Source organism: Homo sapiens, chromosome 16, assembly GCF_000001405.40.
Source record: "Homo sapiens chromosome 16, GRCh38.p14 Primary Assembly".
In the NCBI taxonomy this organism is placed as follows: Eukaryota; Metazoa; Chordata; class Mammalia; order Primates; family Hominidae; genus Homo; species Homo sapiens.
This window is the reverse complement of record NC_000016.10, coordinates 5,708,594-5,728,138: the sequence shown is the minus strand read 5'-3', so window position 1 is coordinate 5,728,138 and position 19,545 is coordinate 5,708,594. Positions and strand designations below refer to the sequence as shown.

The 19,545-nt window shown below is 42.5% G+C and overlaps 1 protein-coding gene across 4 annotated transcripts in view, besides 1 other annotated feature; it reads right to left on the bottom strand.

Moving 5' to 3' along the window:
* The window catches only part of RBFOX1 (RNA binding fox-1 homolog 1), a 2,473,620-nt gene that overhangs the window by 1,985,202 nt on the left and 468,873 nt on the right, over nt 1-19,545 (bottom strand). The window lies entirely within an intron of this gene.
* Nucleotides 17,964-18,164: a silencer, noted in NCBI's record as "peak2483 fragment used in MPRA reporter construct". NCBI's record gives its function as "represses an SCP1 promoter by STARR-seq MPRAs in K562 erythroleukemia cells {active_cell/tissue: K562}" and the evidence as "EXISTENCE:reporter gene assay evidence [ECO:0000049][PMID:32103011]".

Here is a 19,545-nt window from a genome sequence, read left to right as displayed (position 1 = left end):
TTGAGATTGTGATTTTATTTCTTTTGAATGTCCACTCGTAAGTGGGATTGCTGGATCAAGTGAAATAAGCCAGATAACAGAAAGACAAATACTACCAAAGCTCACTTATATTTAGAATCTAAAGAAGTGAACTGATAGAAACAGAGAGAGGAGGCCGGGCATGGTAGCTGTCTCCTGTAATCCCAGAACTTTGGGAGGCCAAGGTGGAAGGACCACTTGAGGCCAGGAGTTGAAGGCCCAGTGTAGGCAACACAGACTCTATCTCTACAAAAAAAACCTGAAATATTAGTGGGCATGGTGGCGCACACCTGTAGTCCCAGCTACTCAGCAGGCTGAGGCAGGAGGATCACGTGAATCCAGAAGTTTGAGGCTGCAGTGAGCCATGATAACACCACTGTACTCAACCTGGGTGACAAGGTAAGACCTTGTCTCTAAACAAACAAACAAACAAACAACAACAACAAAAACAGAGTAGAACTGTGGTCACCAAGAGCTTGAGGGTGGGTAAATGGGGAGATATTGGTCTAAGTATACAAACTTTGTTAAAAGATAAGTAAGTTCTGGAGACCGGATATACATCATGGTGACTCTACATAATAGCACTGTATTGTACATTTGAAATACGCAAAGAGAGTAGATATACACACACATACAAAGGTTAACTATGTCAGGTAATGGGTATGTTACTTCAATTGTGGTGAGCGTTTCACAGTATATACGTACATCAGAGCATCACATCGTACACCTTAAATATATACAATTTTTATTTGTCAGTCATTAAATGCTCAATAAAGCTAGAAGAAACAAAAAGTAAAGTCAGTCTTCACATCATGGTTTTATTTGTTTGTTTGTTTTTCATTTTTTTTTGAGACAAAGTCTTACTCTGTTGCCCAGGCTGGAGTGCAGTGGCACAATCTTGGCTCACTGCCACCTCTGTCTCCCTGGTTCACTTCAAGCAATTCTCCTGCCTCAGCTTCCTGAGTAACTGGGATTACAGGCACATGAAAGAACACCCAGCTAATTTTTGTATTTTTGTATTTTTAGCAGAAACAGGGTTTTACCATGTGGGCCAGGCTGGTCTTAAACTCCTGACCTCAAGTAATCCACCCGCCCCAGCCTCCCAAAGTGCTGGGATTACAGGCATGAGCCACCATGCCCGGCCTTCACATCGAGGTTTGAATTCACGGCCAGGGCTAAGAGTGCCCACCCATATGGCCTCAGGAAAGTCACAGAACCTTTCTGAGCCTCAGTTTCCTTCACCATCAATGACACTAAAAACAATACGATTGTAGCTGAGACACCAAGCTGACAGGAGAAGATTCAATGTGTAAAGGGGCAAAGCACAGTGGCATGTAGCGAACAATAATATTAAAATATCTGTACTAATCATATGTCACAATGTCAGCAATGATTACATTATTGTTCATAATACCTATAGCTATTAGCATTGCAAATAATACAGTAGAGTTAAGCCTTGATCATAACATAATAGTGTTAGTGTACAGGTCAAGAGCAAAGCAGCAAGGGAGGTGAGAAGCAGCAGATTCCTTTCTGAGGCTGCTTCCCTGGACTCCAGGCTATGGACAAGGATTTGCCCCTGGCTGACCTCACGGCATGGGGCTGGCCCAGCAATTCTGGTCACCACAGAGTGAAGGAAAGCGGGACAAAGAAAGTGAAGGTCCTGGCTTGCTGGTGGCGACCTTGGCAATGGAGGGGTTGTTGTCTAGGGCCCCAGGGAGGGAGGAGGTTTAGTAGATGCGGGCCATTCAGCAGTATTTAATTTAGAGAGGGCCGGTCATAGCATGGTTCATGAAAAGAAAGTCAGGCCTGACAAATCTGGCTGAATTATCTGAATACATCCCCAGAAAGGGAGACAACGGTCCCATAAAGGCCAATTTATCTGCATTTCGGGGAGGCATCTGATCTAGAATGACAAAACTGATTGATTCGCAAAGGCCTCTACAGCACTTTAGGGAAGGGAAATTAAACTGGGACGAAAGGAGTTTAAATCAGAGAAACCCATTCTACCCAAAGAAAAAGCTTTATTAAAAAAAATAATAATAAAAGTGGAGAAAAGAAAAAGGAAGTAGAGAGAAGCAGGATTCTTTGGGTTGGAAGACCATGGAATGGAAAGGCCCACTTTTAAAGAAGAGACTCTTTGGTGACCAACCTCAGAAATGTGGGTTTGTATGGATGTCATCACATCAGCAAAGGAAGGAACTGAGTGCTCAGGAATTAACCCCAACCTGCAGCAAACCTGCTGAACCCAGCAGCCTCCTCATGCCAGTGCCAACCAAGAGGCAGAGAACTCGGAGAGCTGGCATCCTAGAACAGCCCTGAGTGGGGAGAGGGCAGCTAGCAGTGCCATTCTTGGGAAGCATAAGCTCCGTGGAGGCAGGAATGGCAGCAAAAAGATGTCCCAGTGGATTTCCCCCATGCCAGGTGTGAATGTGGACCTCAAGTTACCTCTCTGATTCTCCTTATATGGAAAATGAGGATCTTATGAGCACTCTTGCAGACTCAAGCAGAAGGGCTACAGAGAGAGCCTTGGTGATAGAAACATATCTTAAGCTATGAGCTGGGTGCAGTGGCTCACACCAGTAGTCCCAACACTTGGAGGCTAAGGTAGGAGAATTGCCTGAGCCCTGTTAAGTTTGAGACAAGACTGGAAAACAAAGAAAGACCTCATCTCTACAAAAAATAAAAATAATAATAATAATAAAAGCAATTAGCTGGGGGCAGTGGTGCATGCCTGTAGTTCCAGTTACTCAGGAAGCTGAGGCAGGAGGACCCCTTGAGCCAAAGAGTTCAAGCCTACAGTGAGCTAAGACTTCATAATTGCACTTCTGCCTGGGAGACAGAGCAAGACCCTGTCTCTTAACAAAAAAATAGAAAATAATTTTTAAAAAAGATACCGCAGACTAGAGGGCACACAGCACAAGGGATTGTTTTGGCATGCTCATTAACCAACAGCCTAGCCTCCTCTGCAACAGGTATCAGGCCTCTTGGAGGATTCCCCAAATATTTTATTAGTACTGGGGACAAAGATGGATCTCTACAGACACACCCTCATTATCCACTGGCATCTCCCAAGGGAAAGGGTTGATCGGATTGGATTTCACCACCCAATAAGGAACCTTCTCAATGGGCAAGGTTTGAGCAGAGACACCTCCTGATACATGGCCCTTCCCCAGTCGCAGACTGTTAAAGACGCTGATTTCACTACGTGGCAGGAATCACAGACAATCTTTGAGGATCATGGGCAAAATAGGCTCATGGTAACTTTCATTTTTCCAGGAAGGCGGGGATACCATCTATGTTAGTGGGCTGGTGTAGATATCCAACAAGGAGAAGAATATAAGCACCCAGTATGGTGCCAGGTACTTGGTAGGTACTCAGAACTTGTTGGGTCCTCACCTGTTACCTTACTTCCCATCTGGGCTCTCTGTGTGATGGGAGAAGTGAAGAAAAACCATCTCTATTTGAGAAACAAGAGTGACAATGCTGATAGGATTCTTACTCCAGAATGCATTAGGCTCTCTGAACCTCATGACAAGACCATGAGGATTATGCTTGAGGGAAGAGATGTCAGATGCCTTCCCTAAGCTCTCACAGTGGGTAGGTAATGGGTCCTGGGTTCAAACCCTGGCAGTCTGGCTCCGAGTCCCTCCTCTAACCACTATGCCATTTCACGAAGACATAGACATAGAGACTCAAGGGAAGCCAGTTTGACCAAATGAGGCCCATCACCTGCAGCTCCTGAATGCTCTCACAGAGCCCCAGCATAATCTCCCCAAATGGCAGTGAAAGCAGCTTAGGACAATCCCACCGTGCCTTTAGGGTGCGCAAGGGCCCTGGCTCAGCCTCTCTGACAACTACCCCAGACACAGGTTTTATTTTGGGGCCTTTCCAGCCCTTGGGTCTTTGCTCAGGACACTGCTCCAAAGAATATCTTGCCACTCAGGAAAAAACATTCTCTTCTTTGAGATAAAACAAACCTAGGAGCACAGTTCCAGTCACAACATCTGTCACTCCACCACAAAATTGGTGAGAAGCATTCAAGTGGTGAGCAGTCTGCACGCAGGCACATGCACACACACGGACACACAAATGGTTTGCTAACATAGGGAGCTATACACCGACACTCTTCTTCGAGTTGGACCACTCCAAAACATTTTTCAAAGCCGAGTCTGTTTTTTAAATGGAAAAATGTGAAACATCTTCTTGACTTGAGCTCTTTAAAGAGATGCCCATGTAGAAGCGACTTTGCTGTAAGGAAAACAATGGTGCAAGGTCCAGTCTACAGACAGATTTCTGACTAGGGCAGTCCATGAGACCTCCACTGCTTTCTCCATAGCTGCCTGTGGGCTGGCTACTCAACCTTAGACCAAAGATCTCACAATCAGACCTCAGACACCATCCAGCCCAAGCCTGAGACTGCCACTGTTTAATCCACAGATTCCTGTGGGCTGACTATTCGACCTTAGACCAAAGGTCTCAAAATCAGACCTCAGACACCATCCAGCCCAAGCCTGAGACAACCACTGTTTAATCCACAGTTTCCTGTGGGCTGACTACTCAACCTTAGACCAAAGGTCTCAAAATCAGATCTCAGACACCATCCAGCCCAAGCCTGAGACTGCCACTGTTTAATCCACAGTTGCCTGTGGGCTGACTACTCAGCCTTAGACCAAAGGTCTCAAAATCAGACCTCAGACACCATCCAGCCCAAGCTTGAGATAGCCACTGTTTAATCCACAGCTTCCTGTGGGCTGACTACTCAGCCTTAGACCAAAGGTCTCAAAATCAGACCTGAGATGCCATCCATCCCAAGCTTCTCCAATGGCAGACGAATGAGAAAATGGACTCTGGTGAATGCCTGCCTTGGAGCAGTCACTGTGCTCATGTCATCCATCTACTGCCTCCTCTGTGAGGAGGATCCCGTTGTGATTCTCCCATGTTACAGATGCATACACTCAAGTAGCAGGAAGGGTGGTCCAGTCATTCAGCATGGATGACTCTGAGGTAAAAGGAAGATAATGGCAAACCTGCATCACTTGTGAATTAGGCTGCTGGAGATTAGGAAAGCAGTTTGTGATGGATTTGTGGCACCACCACAACTGAGAGCCTTATGTGCCCTAAGTATGCGAATATGGCAGTGGACAAATAGGGCCTCTGCCCTTATGAGGAAGGAAACACCAAACCGATCATTAAATATGGTGAGAACTTCCACAAAAGAAAACACAGGATAAAATGAGAGCTGGCAACAGAAAAAGTTAAGTGGCAGAGGGTAGGGGGATACTTGGTCTTGGGAGACTCCTCAGAAACAGTGGCATTTAACAGAGGTAAGCCGAGACTGATGGATAACTAGAAGTAAGCCAGGCAGGGAATATTACAAGCATAGAATGGTATCCATGAAGCCTGAAGCTGGGAAAGAGCTGGGTATGTTTGAGAAAGTCCTCAACCAAGGTGAAACCACCTATGTCTACTTCAGATGCAGACTCACAACCCTAATGCCACCGTGGGGACTTACTCAAAAGATTTCACTGATAAAGATGCCTTCCTGGGACCAAACTGAGGGTCAATACAGGTCTCAGGTGTCTTTGAATGCCCCCCTTGATCCCCTGGGGACACCTGGACACGGGGATAGATGATCGCGCTGAGTCTAATTGTATCTGGATTTCTCTACAGCAAATGTGTGCAGAACAGCCCAGCAGAGCCCTTGACTAATGACTTTCAAATATAATTAAAAACATATTTCAATAGAAAGCACATTGCCAAGTCTATACCAGCAAAGTGAAATTAACCTTCAAACCATACTGGAACAACAGTGAATCACAAGGGTTTGTAAGAGATTAGATACACTGTAGCCTAATTATGTTACAATAACTCACCTCATTAATCTCCAAGGAAACAATAACGACAACAGTTAAATACTGTAATTAACAAACCCTATTTCAAACTTGATTTTCATTTTATAGGACTTGGTAATATTATCCATTGTAACTGTGGGAAAGACAGGATGTCAGTAGAGCAACCTGGTTCTTTTAAAGGCTCTTGGCTAACAGAGTTCAATACTTCGGATTTATGATTCTACCACATGAGGATTCTCCTTAGAGCCCAACCCAGGCAACAAAAATATTGTGCTATGGGGTCAAAATGCCACAGACTGTCAAGACCTTCCAGGTAGCTTTCTCCCCTCAATAAAGGAGCATAAAATTAAATTTGTGTTTGTCTTTCCACATATGAAGCAGTGAATCTTGTGCTTGGTCCTCTGTCTGGGACCGGTTTAGCACTGAGATTCTCTAGTTACAAGCCCTTTGCGAAGGTTTCCACAGGCAGGGTTGTGACAGGTTAGAGAATCCAGGGAATAATAATTCAGAATGAGCAGATAATAAAGAACCAAAATGTCATGATTATTTCAATAGATGCAGAGAAAGCATTTGGCAAAACCTAGCAACCTTTCATGATAAAAACACTCAATAATCTAGGAACATAAGAGAATGTTTTCAAAATTATAAAGGGAATCTATGAAAACACTCCCAGGTGGCATCATACGCAATGGCCGAAGACTGAATGCCTTCCCCTAAGATGAGGGGCAAGACAAAGGTGGGTACTGTCATCTCATCTATTCAACATTACACTGGAGGGTCAAGCCAGGGCAATTGGGCAAGAACAAGAAAAAAAGGCATCCGGCTTGGAAAGGAAGAAGTAGAAATATCTTTACTTGCAGACAACAAGATCTTGAACACAGAAAAGCCAACTAATCCGCACCCACATACCCACATCCACACCCACACAAGTATTAAAACCAATAAATTCAGCAAAGTAGCAGGATATAAGATTAATTTGCAAAAATCAGCTGTATTCCTTCACACTAGTAATGAACAACTCATGAAACTAAGGACACAATTTCCTTTATAATAGTATCAAAAAGAATAAACTTAAACTTTAAAATAAACTTAGGAAAATACTTGGGGATAAACATAAAACAGGAAATGTAAAATTTCCATGCTGAAAACTATTAAATATTGATCAAAGAAATTTAAAGGAACCTAAATAAATGAAAATAAAATTCATATTCATGGATTAGAAGACAATACTAAAATGAAAATACCTCTCAAATTGATCTACAGATTTAACACAATCCCTACCAAATTTTCACTTGCCATTTCGGCTGAAATTGACAAGCTGACTCTGAAATTCACTGAGAAATACAAGGGATTCAGAATAATCAAAACAATCTTGAAAACTAAGAACAAAGTTGGAGACTCACACTTCCCAATTTAAAATATTTCTACAAAGCTACAGTGATGAAGATAGTATGGTACTAGCCTAAGAACTTATATATACAGATTAATGGACTAGAACTGAGAGTCCATAAATAAATCCTTTTATTTACGAATAAGTGATTTTTGACGAGGGCATAAAGGGCATTCAAGGGCAAGAGAATAATCTTTTCAACAAATGATGTCAGAACTGGATAACTGCACACAAGAGAATGAAGTTGGATCTCCTTCCACCATAGATAAAAATGAACTCGAAATGGATCATAGACCTAAACGGAAGAGCTAAAACTCGAAAAGCCTTAGAAGACATAGGAATACAGCTTTACAACCTTGGCTTAGGTAAAGCCTTGTTAATATGACAATAAAAGCACAAACTACTAAAGAAAAAATAGGTTCATTGCGATTAACAAAAATTTAAAACTTTATGCTGAAAATAACAACATCTGGAAAGTTAGCTAATAATAGCAATGGCAAACACAACCTGTAGAATGGGAGAAAATATTTGAAATTACACATTTCATCAAGGACTAGGATCCACAACATATAAACAACTCTCACAACTCAATATCAAAATATAAATAACCCAGTCAAAAATGGACCAAGAATCTGAACAGGCATGTCTCCAAAAAAGACCTACTACAAATGACCAGTAAGCACACACACAATGTTCAATATCATTAGTAACTGGAGAAATACACCTCAAAACCACAATGAGATACTACTTCACACTCACTAAGATGGCCAGAATAAAAACCAAAACTGATCATACCAAGTGTTGGTGAGGATGTGAAAAAAATTGAAGCTTCATTTATTGTGAGGGGGAATGGGAACCTACGATGGTGCAGCCGCTTCGGAAACAGATTGGTGGTTCCTCAAATCATGGGGGCGGGGCGGGGAAGAGTCACCATCCCTCCTAGCAGCTGAACTTCTAAATATACTTTCGAGAGAAGTCAAAACATGCGTCCACATAAAAACGTGTTCACAAATGTTCGTAGCAGCACTATTCATAATAGCCAAACACGGAAACAACCCAAATGTCCAACAAATGATAAACAAATAAAATGGGGTCTATCCATACAATGGATTATTCAGAAATAAAAAGGAATGAAGTATTGACATAGGCTACAGCAGAGATGAAGCTTCAACATTTATGCTCAGCAAAAAAACACAGGCACAAGAGGCCACCTACGGTATGATTTCTTCTATATGAAATATCTAGAATAGGCAAGTCCATAGAGACAGAAAATTGATTAGTAATTGCCAGGGCCTGGTGGGGGCGAGCAAAATGGGGAGTTACTGCTTAATGGGTGGGAAGCTTATTTTGGTTAATAATAAAAAAAATTCTAGGGCAGTGGCTCATGCCTGCAATCCCAGCACTTTGGGAGGCCGAGGTGGGCGGATCGCGAGCTCAGGAGATTGAGACCATCCTGGCGAACATGGTGAAACCCCGTGTCTACTAAAAATACAAAAAAAAAAAAAAATTAGCCGGGCATGGTGGCAGGTGCCTGTAGTCCCAGTTACTCGGGAGGCTGAGGCAGGAGAATGGCGTGAACCAGGGGGGCGGAGCTTGCAGTGAGCCGAGATCGTGCCACTGCACTCCAGCCTGGGAGATGGCAAGACTCCGTCTCAAAAAAAAAAAAAAAAAAAGATTCTAATATGAAGTATGGGTGGCAGCCTTCCAACTCCGTAGATACGCTAAGCCTATTGGGTTATATGCGTTTAATGGATAAAATGTATTCAACAAATATTACTTGAGGTCATCTTCATAACAGTTAACTTTTACTGACTTCTTGCTATCTGCCAGTCACTTATACACATGATCTCAGTCAATCCTTACAGAAATCTTATAAAGTTGGGAATATTGTTTTTTTTTTTTAACTATACACATGGAGGCAGTAAGGCCAGAAAGTTCATTCATTCATTCATTCATTCATTCATTTTGAGAAGCAATCTCACTCTGTCACCTAGACTGGGGTAAATTGGTGCAGTCTCCACTCACTGCGACCTCAGCCTCCCAGGTTCAAGCGATTCTCCTGCCTCAGCCTCTGGAGTAGCTGGGATTACAGGTACCCACGACTATGCCCCGGCTAATTTTTGTAGCTTTTATTAGAGATGGGATTCCACCATGTCGGCCAGGCTGGTCTCAAACTCCTGACTTCAGGTGATCCACCTGCCTTGGCCTCCCAAAGTTCTGGGCTTACAAGCATGAGCTACCATGTCCAGCCAGGCCAGAAAGTTTAACACAGTTTGTAAATAGCATCAAATCTAAGTATGTGTCATTCAAAGCCCCATGCATTTAATAACTGTACTTGATTTTCTCTCTTCCAAGCCTTGTATTTCACAATAGCCCAGCCTTCATGGAGCTCACATCTAAAGAGAGTTTATCAGTTAGCTATCATCAAAATAACACCTGCATAACAAACCACACCAAAACTCAGTGGCTTAACTCAGCCCTCATTTATTCTCACATATGTGTCTGTGGGTCAGGTGGAGATTGGATGACTTAGGCTGGGCTCAGCTGGGCAGCTCTGCTTCAAACCTCAGGTCTGGTTGTGCTTCTCACTGCACATTGGGTTCATGCAAGCTCCACATGGATTCTTAATAAATGTACTTGATTTGTTCTCTGTCTATTAAGATAGACTGAATCTGTTGAGCACAAGCTTAAAGAACAGCAGCTATTCAAGAGGATCATGACAATGGCAGGGGCACATGAAGGAAAGCCCCCTATGTAAAGAAATGCTTGCCCTATGTGTGCATCGTATTCGATGACACCCTATTGTCCAGAGCAAGTCACCTGGCCAATACCAAAGTCAAGAGGCAAAGAAGTCCACTCTGCTCATCATGAGGTCATGAGAAAGTGTAGATGCATAACATTGTCCAGAAGAGTGAAGAACTGTGATCAAGCATTCAACTGACCACAGAAAGAGATATCTGTACCTCAAATAAAGATGCTCAGTACCTTCGACCTGCAATTTCTCATCTGTAAACAGATGGTCAAAAATACCTATCTATCTGACATAGTGGTTGTGAGGATCGAATAAATCGCTGATCATGGGAGGCCCTCCGAATAGTACCAAATCTTCTTGCAAACAAGAATTATTGTTATTGGTAGTTACCGAAGCCCTCCCAATTATTAGAGAGAGTGCTGTGTTGAAATGATATACTGGCCTTTGCAGCAACTTGGATGGAGCTGGAGGACATTATTCTAAGTTATTCTAAGTGAAGTAACTGAGGAATGGAAAACCAAATATCGTATATTCGCACTTATAAGTGGGAGCTAAGCTATGAGGATACAAAAGCATAAGAATGAAAAATGGACTTTGGGGACTAAGGGTGAAGGGTGGGAGGGGGTGAGAGATAAAAGACTACATATTGGATACAGTGCACACTGCTTGGGTGATGGGTGCACCAAAATCTCAGAAATTACCATTAAAGAACTTATCCATATAACCAAAAACCACCTGTACCGCCAAAACTATTGAAAGTAAACATTTTTTTTTAAATCTGTATTAAGAAAAAAAGATAGATGGCCTTATTGAGATAATCAAGTAAAAGTGGAAGTGGAAGTGCAAAGATAAATTCACAGGAAACAACGAGGCTGTATCACACAAGAAAATCCTTTTGAAAACAACCATAATAAGAAATTAAGAGATTATAAATTATTATAACACTGAACTTTGACTTTTCTGCTGGATTCATGAAAGTCCTTGAAAATTAAGCTCTTTCTACCAGACCCTCTGACCTTCTCAGACAGAAAAGCACCTCCAAGAATTTCTAATTTCTGACAGCCAAGCAGGAAAATACAGGGGAAATCACTGGAGTTAAGAGTTTTTTCTGCTGCTAATACAGCTCCCTATGCCAGGAGGAAACCTTGAACTCATTATCCTGTCAAGGGAAAAGTTGTATCAGAAGTCAGCAAATCCAGGCTCCGGTGCTGGGAGGCAGGTGACCAGGGATGACAGGCTTGGACATTTTAGGGGCAGAGTCCTGGGTTTGCATCCAAAATCTGCCACTGATGGTCATGCAACCTGGGACAAGTCGCTGAGCTTCCTTGAGCTCCAGTTTCCAATGGGATTTCTGGGTATGTACCCAAAGGAATATAAATCATTTTACTATAAAGACACATGGACACCTATGCTCACTGCAGCTCTCTTTTTAAAGACAGAGTGGTATTCCTGTCTTTGGGCCTTTGAGGAATTGCCACACTGTCTTGCACGATGGCTGAACTAATTTACAATCCTCCTACCAACAGCATATAAGCGTTCCTTTTTCTCCAAACCTCGCCCACATCTGTTATTGTTTGACTTATTAATAATAACCACTCTGACTGGTGTGAGATGGTATCTAATTGCAGTTTTGATTTGCATTTCTCTAATCATCAGCGAAGCTGAGGTTTTTTTCATGCAATTGTTGGACACATGGACACTGGGGTCTGTCGGAGGGTGGAAGGTGAGAGGAGGGAGAGGATCAGGAAAAATAACTAGTAGGCTTAATGCCTGGGGGATGAAACAATCTGTACAACAATCTCCCATAAGTTTATCTGTGTAACAAACCTGTACTTGCACCCCTGAACTTATTAGCTTGGTACAAAATTAACTGCAGTTTTTGCCGCTGATTTTAATGGAAAAAAATTACTTTCACGCCAACCAAATAAAAGTTTAAAAATAAAAAGAGCCCGATACTACTACCTGCTTCCAAAGGTTTACGTGAAATTTAAATGAAAAAACACATGTGAAATGTGAAATGGAATCTCTGGTGTATAATACTTGCTAAATTAATACCAGACATCATCAATGGTGATTTTAAAATATTATCCTTATTCCTGCCTTGCCCACTTCATGAGTTTTTTTGAAATAGGGAGCAAATGAGAGAATTATTAGATACTTTAAAAACTGTGAAGAATTAGACAAATACAACTATGCTGTGATGATTATTAAGTGGCCTTGGCACACTGCACCACTCAACAAATATTTGTTAAGGGAGCAGGGAGTCAGTAAATGCAATTAAACCCCCTTCTCTCGCTATTTGCTTTGGGCCAGTAAAAGGAAGCCCTTGTAGCCAGTACTCCTACTCGCAGCCGCAGGCTTCTCATTCCAGCACAGGCATCTCAAAACCTCCCAAAGCTGCCCCCAACCTCAGCACATTGCTTGCTTTCCTGAGAAACTCATCATGGAGAAGGCAAGCCTTTAGCCTTCATGCCTTGACCTAGAAGAGACAGCACGGAGATTATTTTTGCAGAAAACAAGAAAGGTCACATTTCATCATTCTATGTCCCAATACCTGAGCACTGGCAAGACAAAAAGAGAGAGATCAGTCAACTGGACTTTTCCACTTAGAGAAGCATAATACATCTTAAGAGTTTTCATGATGTATGTGTATCTCCTTGAAGAAGATATTTCGAGTTTGAGATACACCATAAATATCCTTCAATGTGGTGCATGTCAACTGAATGTCCCCATCCTTGAGTAAGTGTGGACAATATATGGTAGGGACAGAGGTGAGTTATGGCAGGGAACATATTAGTAATCTAGGAGCCCAGTGGACACCCACAATTTACAGTTTAATCATCCACAAGGTAGAGCTTCTCTGTAATTGAATTAGATTTCGAAATAAGGCAGACCTGATTTATAGGGTTGTTTCAAAAACACACACAACAGGGTATATTATCTTGTTTGTAACAATAATCTAATGGTTAGTGTTAATGCATTACCAAGGAATGAGGCAAAATGGCTAAATGTAAGGTACTGAGCATTTGCTAAACAAGGCGGCTGCGTCAACAAAAGACTGGAGAAGCAGGAAAAGTTATCCTTCTCATTTATGTTCACCTAAGGCAGATGTACCATTTTACTTTAATCTGCTTCGGGTTTATTCAACTCAACACAACTGGAAGTATAGTTACTCATTCATCCAACAGATATTTCAGCATCAACTCTATGCTTGCCTCTGTGTTTGACACTGAAGTCACTGAGATGTCTACTAGCTACGTGACCTTGGCTCACTGCTCCTCTAAGTCCCCGTTCCCACATCTGTGACGCAGTGACGATAATAGTTTCTACCTTACGAGGCTGATATGATTATAGTGATAAATCACTCAGTGTGGTATGCACAATACAGTATTACAATCCTTCCTATTATTATGGCTTTTGTTATTTCCTTACCCACAAACTGTTTATACTCTTGCAGAGATGACAAATGAAAACCGTTACTAAGCACATCTTTCTTGTATCTGTTACCTATTGCCACAGTAATGCTGTATAACAAACACCACAACCTCAGTGACATTCGATTGTAAGGGTTTATTTTTCACACATCTAAGGTCCCACCCAGGTTGGCCAGATACCTCTGCCTATGCACCTGGGCTCGCTCACATGTCTGATGCTGGCCAGCTTTTGGGTGGTCTCTTCGAGCTTCAGCTGGGCACGTCTCTATTCCATGTTCTCTGTATCCATTTCCAGTGACCAGTCATTGGTATGGGGAAGTTCTTCTCATCATGATGGGAGCAGTTCAAGGCAATGGGTGAAGACAGGCAGAGCCTCTTGAGGTCTGAGCTCAGAATCAGAACATTATCATTTCTGCCTTGAGCCATTGGCCAAAGCAAGTTACATGACTATGTGCAGATTCACAATGGGAGAGCACAACAAGCCCTCATGGCAAAAGGCAGAGAAGAGTAAAGAATGAGGCTATCACTGCAAGGTATCCCAAGTATGTTTATAAACAGATATGGTGGAAATGCAAGATAGTCCCTAGCTCTTCTGTGCAAAGAGAACTGAAGGCGGCTCCTAATTTATGGAGTGCATAGGCTCATATTTTATTGCCTTTCTTTACCTCCTAATTAGGTAACAAGCCCTGTGAGTGAGCTTCCTAAAACCTCAAAAAGCTCAGCAGATTTGAGCTCTGTTAGAACATCTCCCACGTCTCCCAGAAAGAGGTCACTGGAAGATTGCAACGTAGATGATCTGGGCTTCCTCCTCACTTCCAACAAGAAGGTCACTGCAGATCGAGTCTTTGTACTTCACTGTCTACATGGTCAAGCCCTCAGAGTTCTAGCTCTTATCGACTTGGGCAAAATCAAGCCAATGTTCCAGGGAGGGGGGCAGTTTGCATGAGTCTCTCTGTGATGCTGTGGGCACTTTGTGCGTCCAGACACCACAATGACATAGAGCAAGAACTTATCTACAAAATCATAACCTGCTGTGTGGGCAGCATTCCTCATAGCTCCTTATAGAATGTACTTTTTTAAAGAATCAAAGATCCGGGCATTTCCAGATCAACTAGTTTGGGCTTTTAGAACCTTAAAAGAGGCATCCTTTGGAGAGACAGATACCCTCCTTAGGAACAAAGAGTCAACAAAGATGAGATATTTGGGGATCAAAGCCCAGATTAGCTCAGACAGGGAAATATTTTACTTCAAAAACAGCAACAATGAAACAAGAACAAGTTTCACCAATCTCTATGGTTCAAATGGCAAGAAGAGCTCTTAAACGCCCCTTAATCTCATTCCTGTACTTAAGTCCCTGACTCCCTTCCTCCCTTCCTTGTCCTTCTCCTTCTCTCTCCCTCATCGCTCAAAGGTTACCGAGGATGAATCCAAAAGGCTGCCTGTCATTTGAAGTACCTTTGGCCTCGAGTAACAAAAGAAATTAGCCCCAAATGGCTTAAGCAAATAAAAAGACAGTATGATTACACAGAACAAGAAATCCAGAAGCAAGTTCATTCAGTGTCGGTTCATTCAACTAGAGAAAAGTTTTGGATGCTTGCTTAAAGGAAAGGAAAACTTTCTGCACATCCCCTACCCAACAGACTTTTCCTTACCTCTCACTGGCTAAAGTCTCATCCACTATTCTCAAATTAACCACCAGCATGTACTACTACAAGGATGTCCTCAGAGACCAATCATGATACAGCATTTGGAGCTGGGTTCAATCTCCATGGAAAAACATGACTAGTCAATATTTAAAAACAGAGTGAACTCTGCAGCACAGAAATGGAGTGGGGGTGGAAGTTGGGTGGAGTCAAGTGTATGTGGCAAAAGAAGTAGCATTAAAAACTAGGAATGCAGATCAGAGGGAGCCAGGAAATTTCTTCAGATCATCTAACCACTGGCTTCCTTGCAGCTGGATGAACTGGGTTAAAATCTGGACTCTGTTAAAATCTGGACTCTGCTATTTATGAACCACGTGACCACAGGCAACTTCTCTGGACTTCCATTTCCTAAACTACACATGAGGACAAATAACACATAAGTCACCTACCTGTTATGGGAATTAAGTGAGCTCATAGATGATGAAAAGCCCCTAGAACACCAGCCGCTAACAGTCATTCTCTGAGAGGCCTCACATACTCTTCCCTCTGCTCTTGAGATAAGAATTCATCAGCATGCGTGAAAGCCAAACCTTTGGAATCAGATCTGAGCCCAATAACTGGTCCTGGCAGGTGCCAGCCTGTAATGCCAACCAGCTGCTGAAATTCCCTAAGCCTTAGAGCACTTGTCTACATAATAAATATAATATTTCTAATCTCCTAGAAGGTGGTTGTGAAAACTAAATGAGGTATTGCTAATAAAGGATTTAGCATTATATGGTTTGGCTTCGTGTCCCCACTCAAATATCATCTCAAATGGTAATCCCCAGGTGTTGAGGTGTTGAAGAAGGGACCTGGTGGAAGGTGATTGGATCATGGGGGCAGTTTTCGCCTATGCTGCTCTCATGATAGAGAGTGAGCTCTCACAAGATGTAATGGTTTTATACAGGGCTCCTCCCCCTTCACTTCTCTCTCTTGCCTGCCACCATGTAAGACATGCCTGCTTTCCCTTCCATCATAATTGTAAGTTTCCTGAGGCCTTCCCAGCCATGAGGAACTATGAGTCAATTAAACCTCTTTCATGTATAAATTACACAGTCTGGGATATTTCTTTTTAGCACTGTGAGAACAAACTAATGCATAGCAGGTCAATGGTCCTAAATAAGCACTCAATAAATAGAGGCTGTTACTATTTTTGTCATCACCATCATCATTTTCTGGAAAGTCTCCAGCCTGTCAAGTGCTGGGTCCTTTAGATTCACATGGATTTCCATATTTACAGCAATTTTCCTCAAAAAGCAAACCTGATTGCTTACCACCTTTTATTGAATTCCCATTTTCCTGAGAGTAAAGACCAAAAAATTCTTAATAAGGCATGCAAGGCCCTTTAAGATTTGGTTCCAGTTCACCTCCCCAGTCCCATCTCACCCAAAGCTGCCCAGGACATCTTCCAGGCTCCCTATGACCACGGCCTTTGCCTGCACTGTTCCTGCCACCTAATGCTCTTTATTTCGTTACCTCTTCCTCCTCCTGCTTTGAATCGCACCCCAACTGTCACTTCACAGTGACATTGTCTGTCCAAACCCCAGACAGAGAAAAAGTTCTCCAGTGTATTTTCTCAGCTGAAAGGTGGTATCCTGAATGGTTAAGGACATGAACTCTGAAATAAGACTATATGGTTATAGATCTAAGCTTTGCCACTTACTAGCTGTGTGACCTTGGGCCACTTAACCTCTCTGTGCCTCCATTTTCTTATCTGAGCAATGTAGATAACAATGACTAATACCAATACTTACCATACAGGGTTATTCTGCAGATTAAATGAGTTACTATTAGAAAGCATTTAGAATCATGGCATGCACAGGGCAAGTGCTATATAAGTGTTTACTACATCAAATTAATAAACTGTCCCATGCCTGCAGAGAATCTCTCTTGTCTGCAATTATGCAATCATTACTACAATAATTTGATTATTCACTCTCTCCCCTTCCAGATCAAACACCCTGGGAGTCCAGAGGCATGTCTCCTTGTGCTTCCCACTTACCCTAGGGTCAGGCACAAGAACTGATCTAGGATGGTTTTGCAATAAATATGTTTTTAATAGGTGAAGGAAAACTTAACACACAGCATAAGCTAATGTTTTCCTTGCTCATACCAAGACAAAGAGGACCCGTCATCCCTTTCTGGCTCCCCCAGGTCTTGCAGAGCCACAACAGCTCTTGCCCTGCCTGGCACACAAATGCAACCACTGCCAACAAGCCCAGAAAACGCCAGGGGTCCCCAGGGACACAGAGCCGGTAATAGGCTCCATGTTGCTTCAGATGTTCCGGACCACAAAGTGATCATGTCTGAGACAATGTCAGCATGGTTAACCCCAAATTCCTTCACTCACTCCACTGCACGCAATTCTTTAAAACATCCTGTGCACCAACCCTCCCCAACCACAACAATCACAGGACGTGAGCCTTAATCAGAGAAGAAAAGATTAATTGGGAAGCTGCCTTGAGAGAACCCATGTGCCAGGCCTGCCATCCTCATAATACAGACAATTAGGGCAGCATTGTGACTTGTGTTAGCATAGCAGCAGCAGCCACGGCAAAGTCTCTTCCCCTCCTCTTGGAGGCCCGCAACTGCGCAAGGCTACCAAGCAGCAAATGAAGAGACCCATGTCAATGGCACTAGCAGGAGAAGGCAGCCATCCCTACATTTAACAGAGAGCGCAGTGAAAGCAACAAACAAAAGCATGGTTGCCAAGCCTCGCTCTAGCCCTTACAAGCTGTGTGACATTGGGTTACCTGATCCACAATTAGCTGCTTCAGTTTCAACATCTGCAAAGTGACAAAATAGGACCCTATCCACTGTCATATAACCCTTGGCTCTAAACTCACATGGCTCTGAGTAGGAATTTCGTGGGAGCTTATAATCTCTCACATGCATCTTCAGATAACCTGGATGTCTTATCCAGCCACTCAGGAGCTGTCCCGGGTGCTGAAGATACATGGGCACTTAAAAATCACAAAACCCTTCAGCGTACAGGCTGTAGAACCCAATGCGCCTGAGTTAGAGACCCAACACCTTTGGGATAGATATCCTCATCTCTCAGGTGCTCATCTGAAGCCAAGGGCAATAATGCATAATTCACGGGGCCGTTGTGAAGAATAAAGGAAATGGTAAAAAAAAAAAAAAAAAAAAAAAAAAAAAAAAAATATATATATATATATATATATATATATATATATAAAGAAACTGATACAACACCCAGTAGATTACAGTGGCTTCATAAATGGGAGATATTGGTGTAAAGATCTCATTGAATGAACTTTATATATATATACCATAGAATACCAGGTGTCAGATGAATTTCAACTCCTGAATGAAAAAGACAATATTATCCTATGTAAGAATGCAGCAAGACAAGTGCCTGACACACCTAGCTAATGATGCTTGCTGTTAAACAGGAAGTGTCAGGAGGAGGCCTGGGAGAATGAGAGATGGATTAATGTCATAATCGACACATACAGGCCAAGATCATCCATTTGTCTTGCTGAAGACTTACCCTAGGATACTTTGGGAGGAGAAAGGAAATGAATGATAAAACATGCCATCACGAAAATCTGTTTTAAATTCTCATTATTCTGCCAGTTGTCTAAGCCAGGTGGGTTCATTTCAATTAGGTCATATTCAGGCACATGCTCACTGATCAAAGAACAGAAGAACCATTCCTTACTCTTCCCAAAATAACAGAACAGAGCTTTGTGGAATTCCTGATTATGCACCCATCGTCTTTGCTGCCTGGCATCCTGTGTTCTCTACCATGGCACTGATTACACAAAGCCATCAGAGCCCATTTTCTAATCTATCTCTCACTGGAGCCCAGAAACAGATCCACAGATGCTGTATTCATCAAGACTGTTTTTGGATTGCAAGAGACAGAAACTCAACATTAGCAAGGTTAGGCAAGAGTAGAATGTGATGACTCACGGGATCTATTATGGGGTTGAATATCGAAATCCTGAGTAGGGAAATATTTCGGTTGGGTCTCAAGAACAAATTAAACAAGAGATGCTAACACTGCCATGGCCCGTGTTCTCTCTTGCTCTCTTTCTTGTTCTTGTTTTCATTCCTCTTCTTGCTCTCACTCTCGTCTTTCCTCTTCTATGACAATTGGGTTTATTCTCAATAATGACAGACATGTTTCTTCCAAAAGTTAGAAATTGTGGCCCATGGCAGCTCCCAAGCCCCTCATCTCACAGCTACTTCTTTCAGAGAAAAATGGCCCTCTCCCAGGCTCAGTTTGAATATCCCCAAGATGGATTTTTATTGCCCAAGCCGGTGCCAGATATACCACTGGAACAACCAATGGTAGGTGGCATGTGTTGTGCAGTAAACAGGTATCTGTTTGTATATTAGGGGGAGAATCTATGAACCATGCCAGCTCCTGGAAACTGGAAGACAC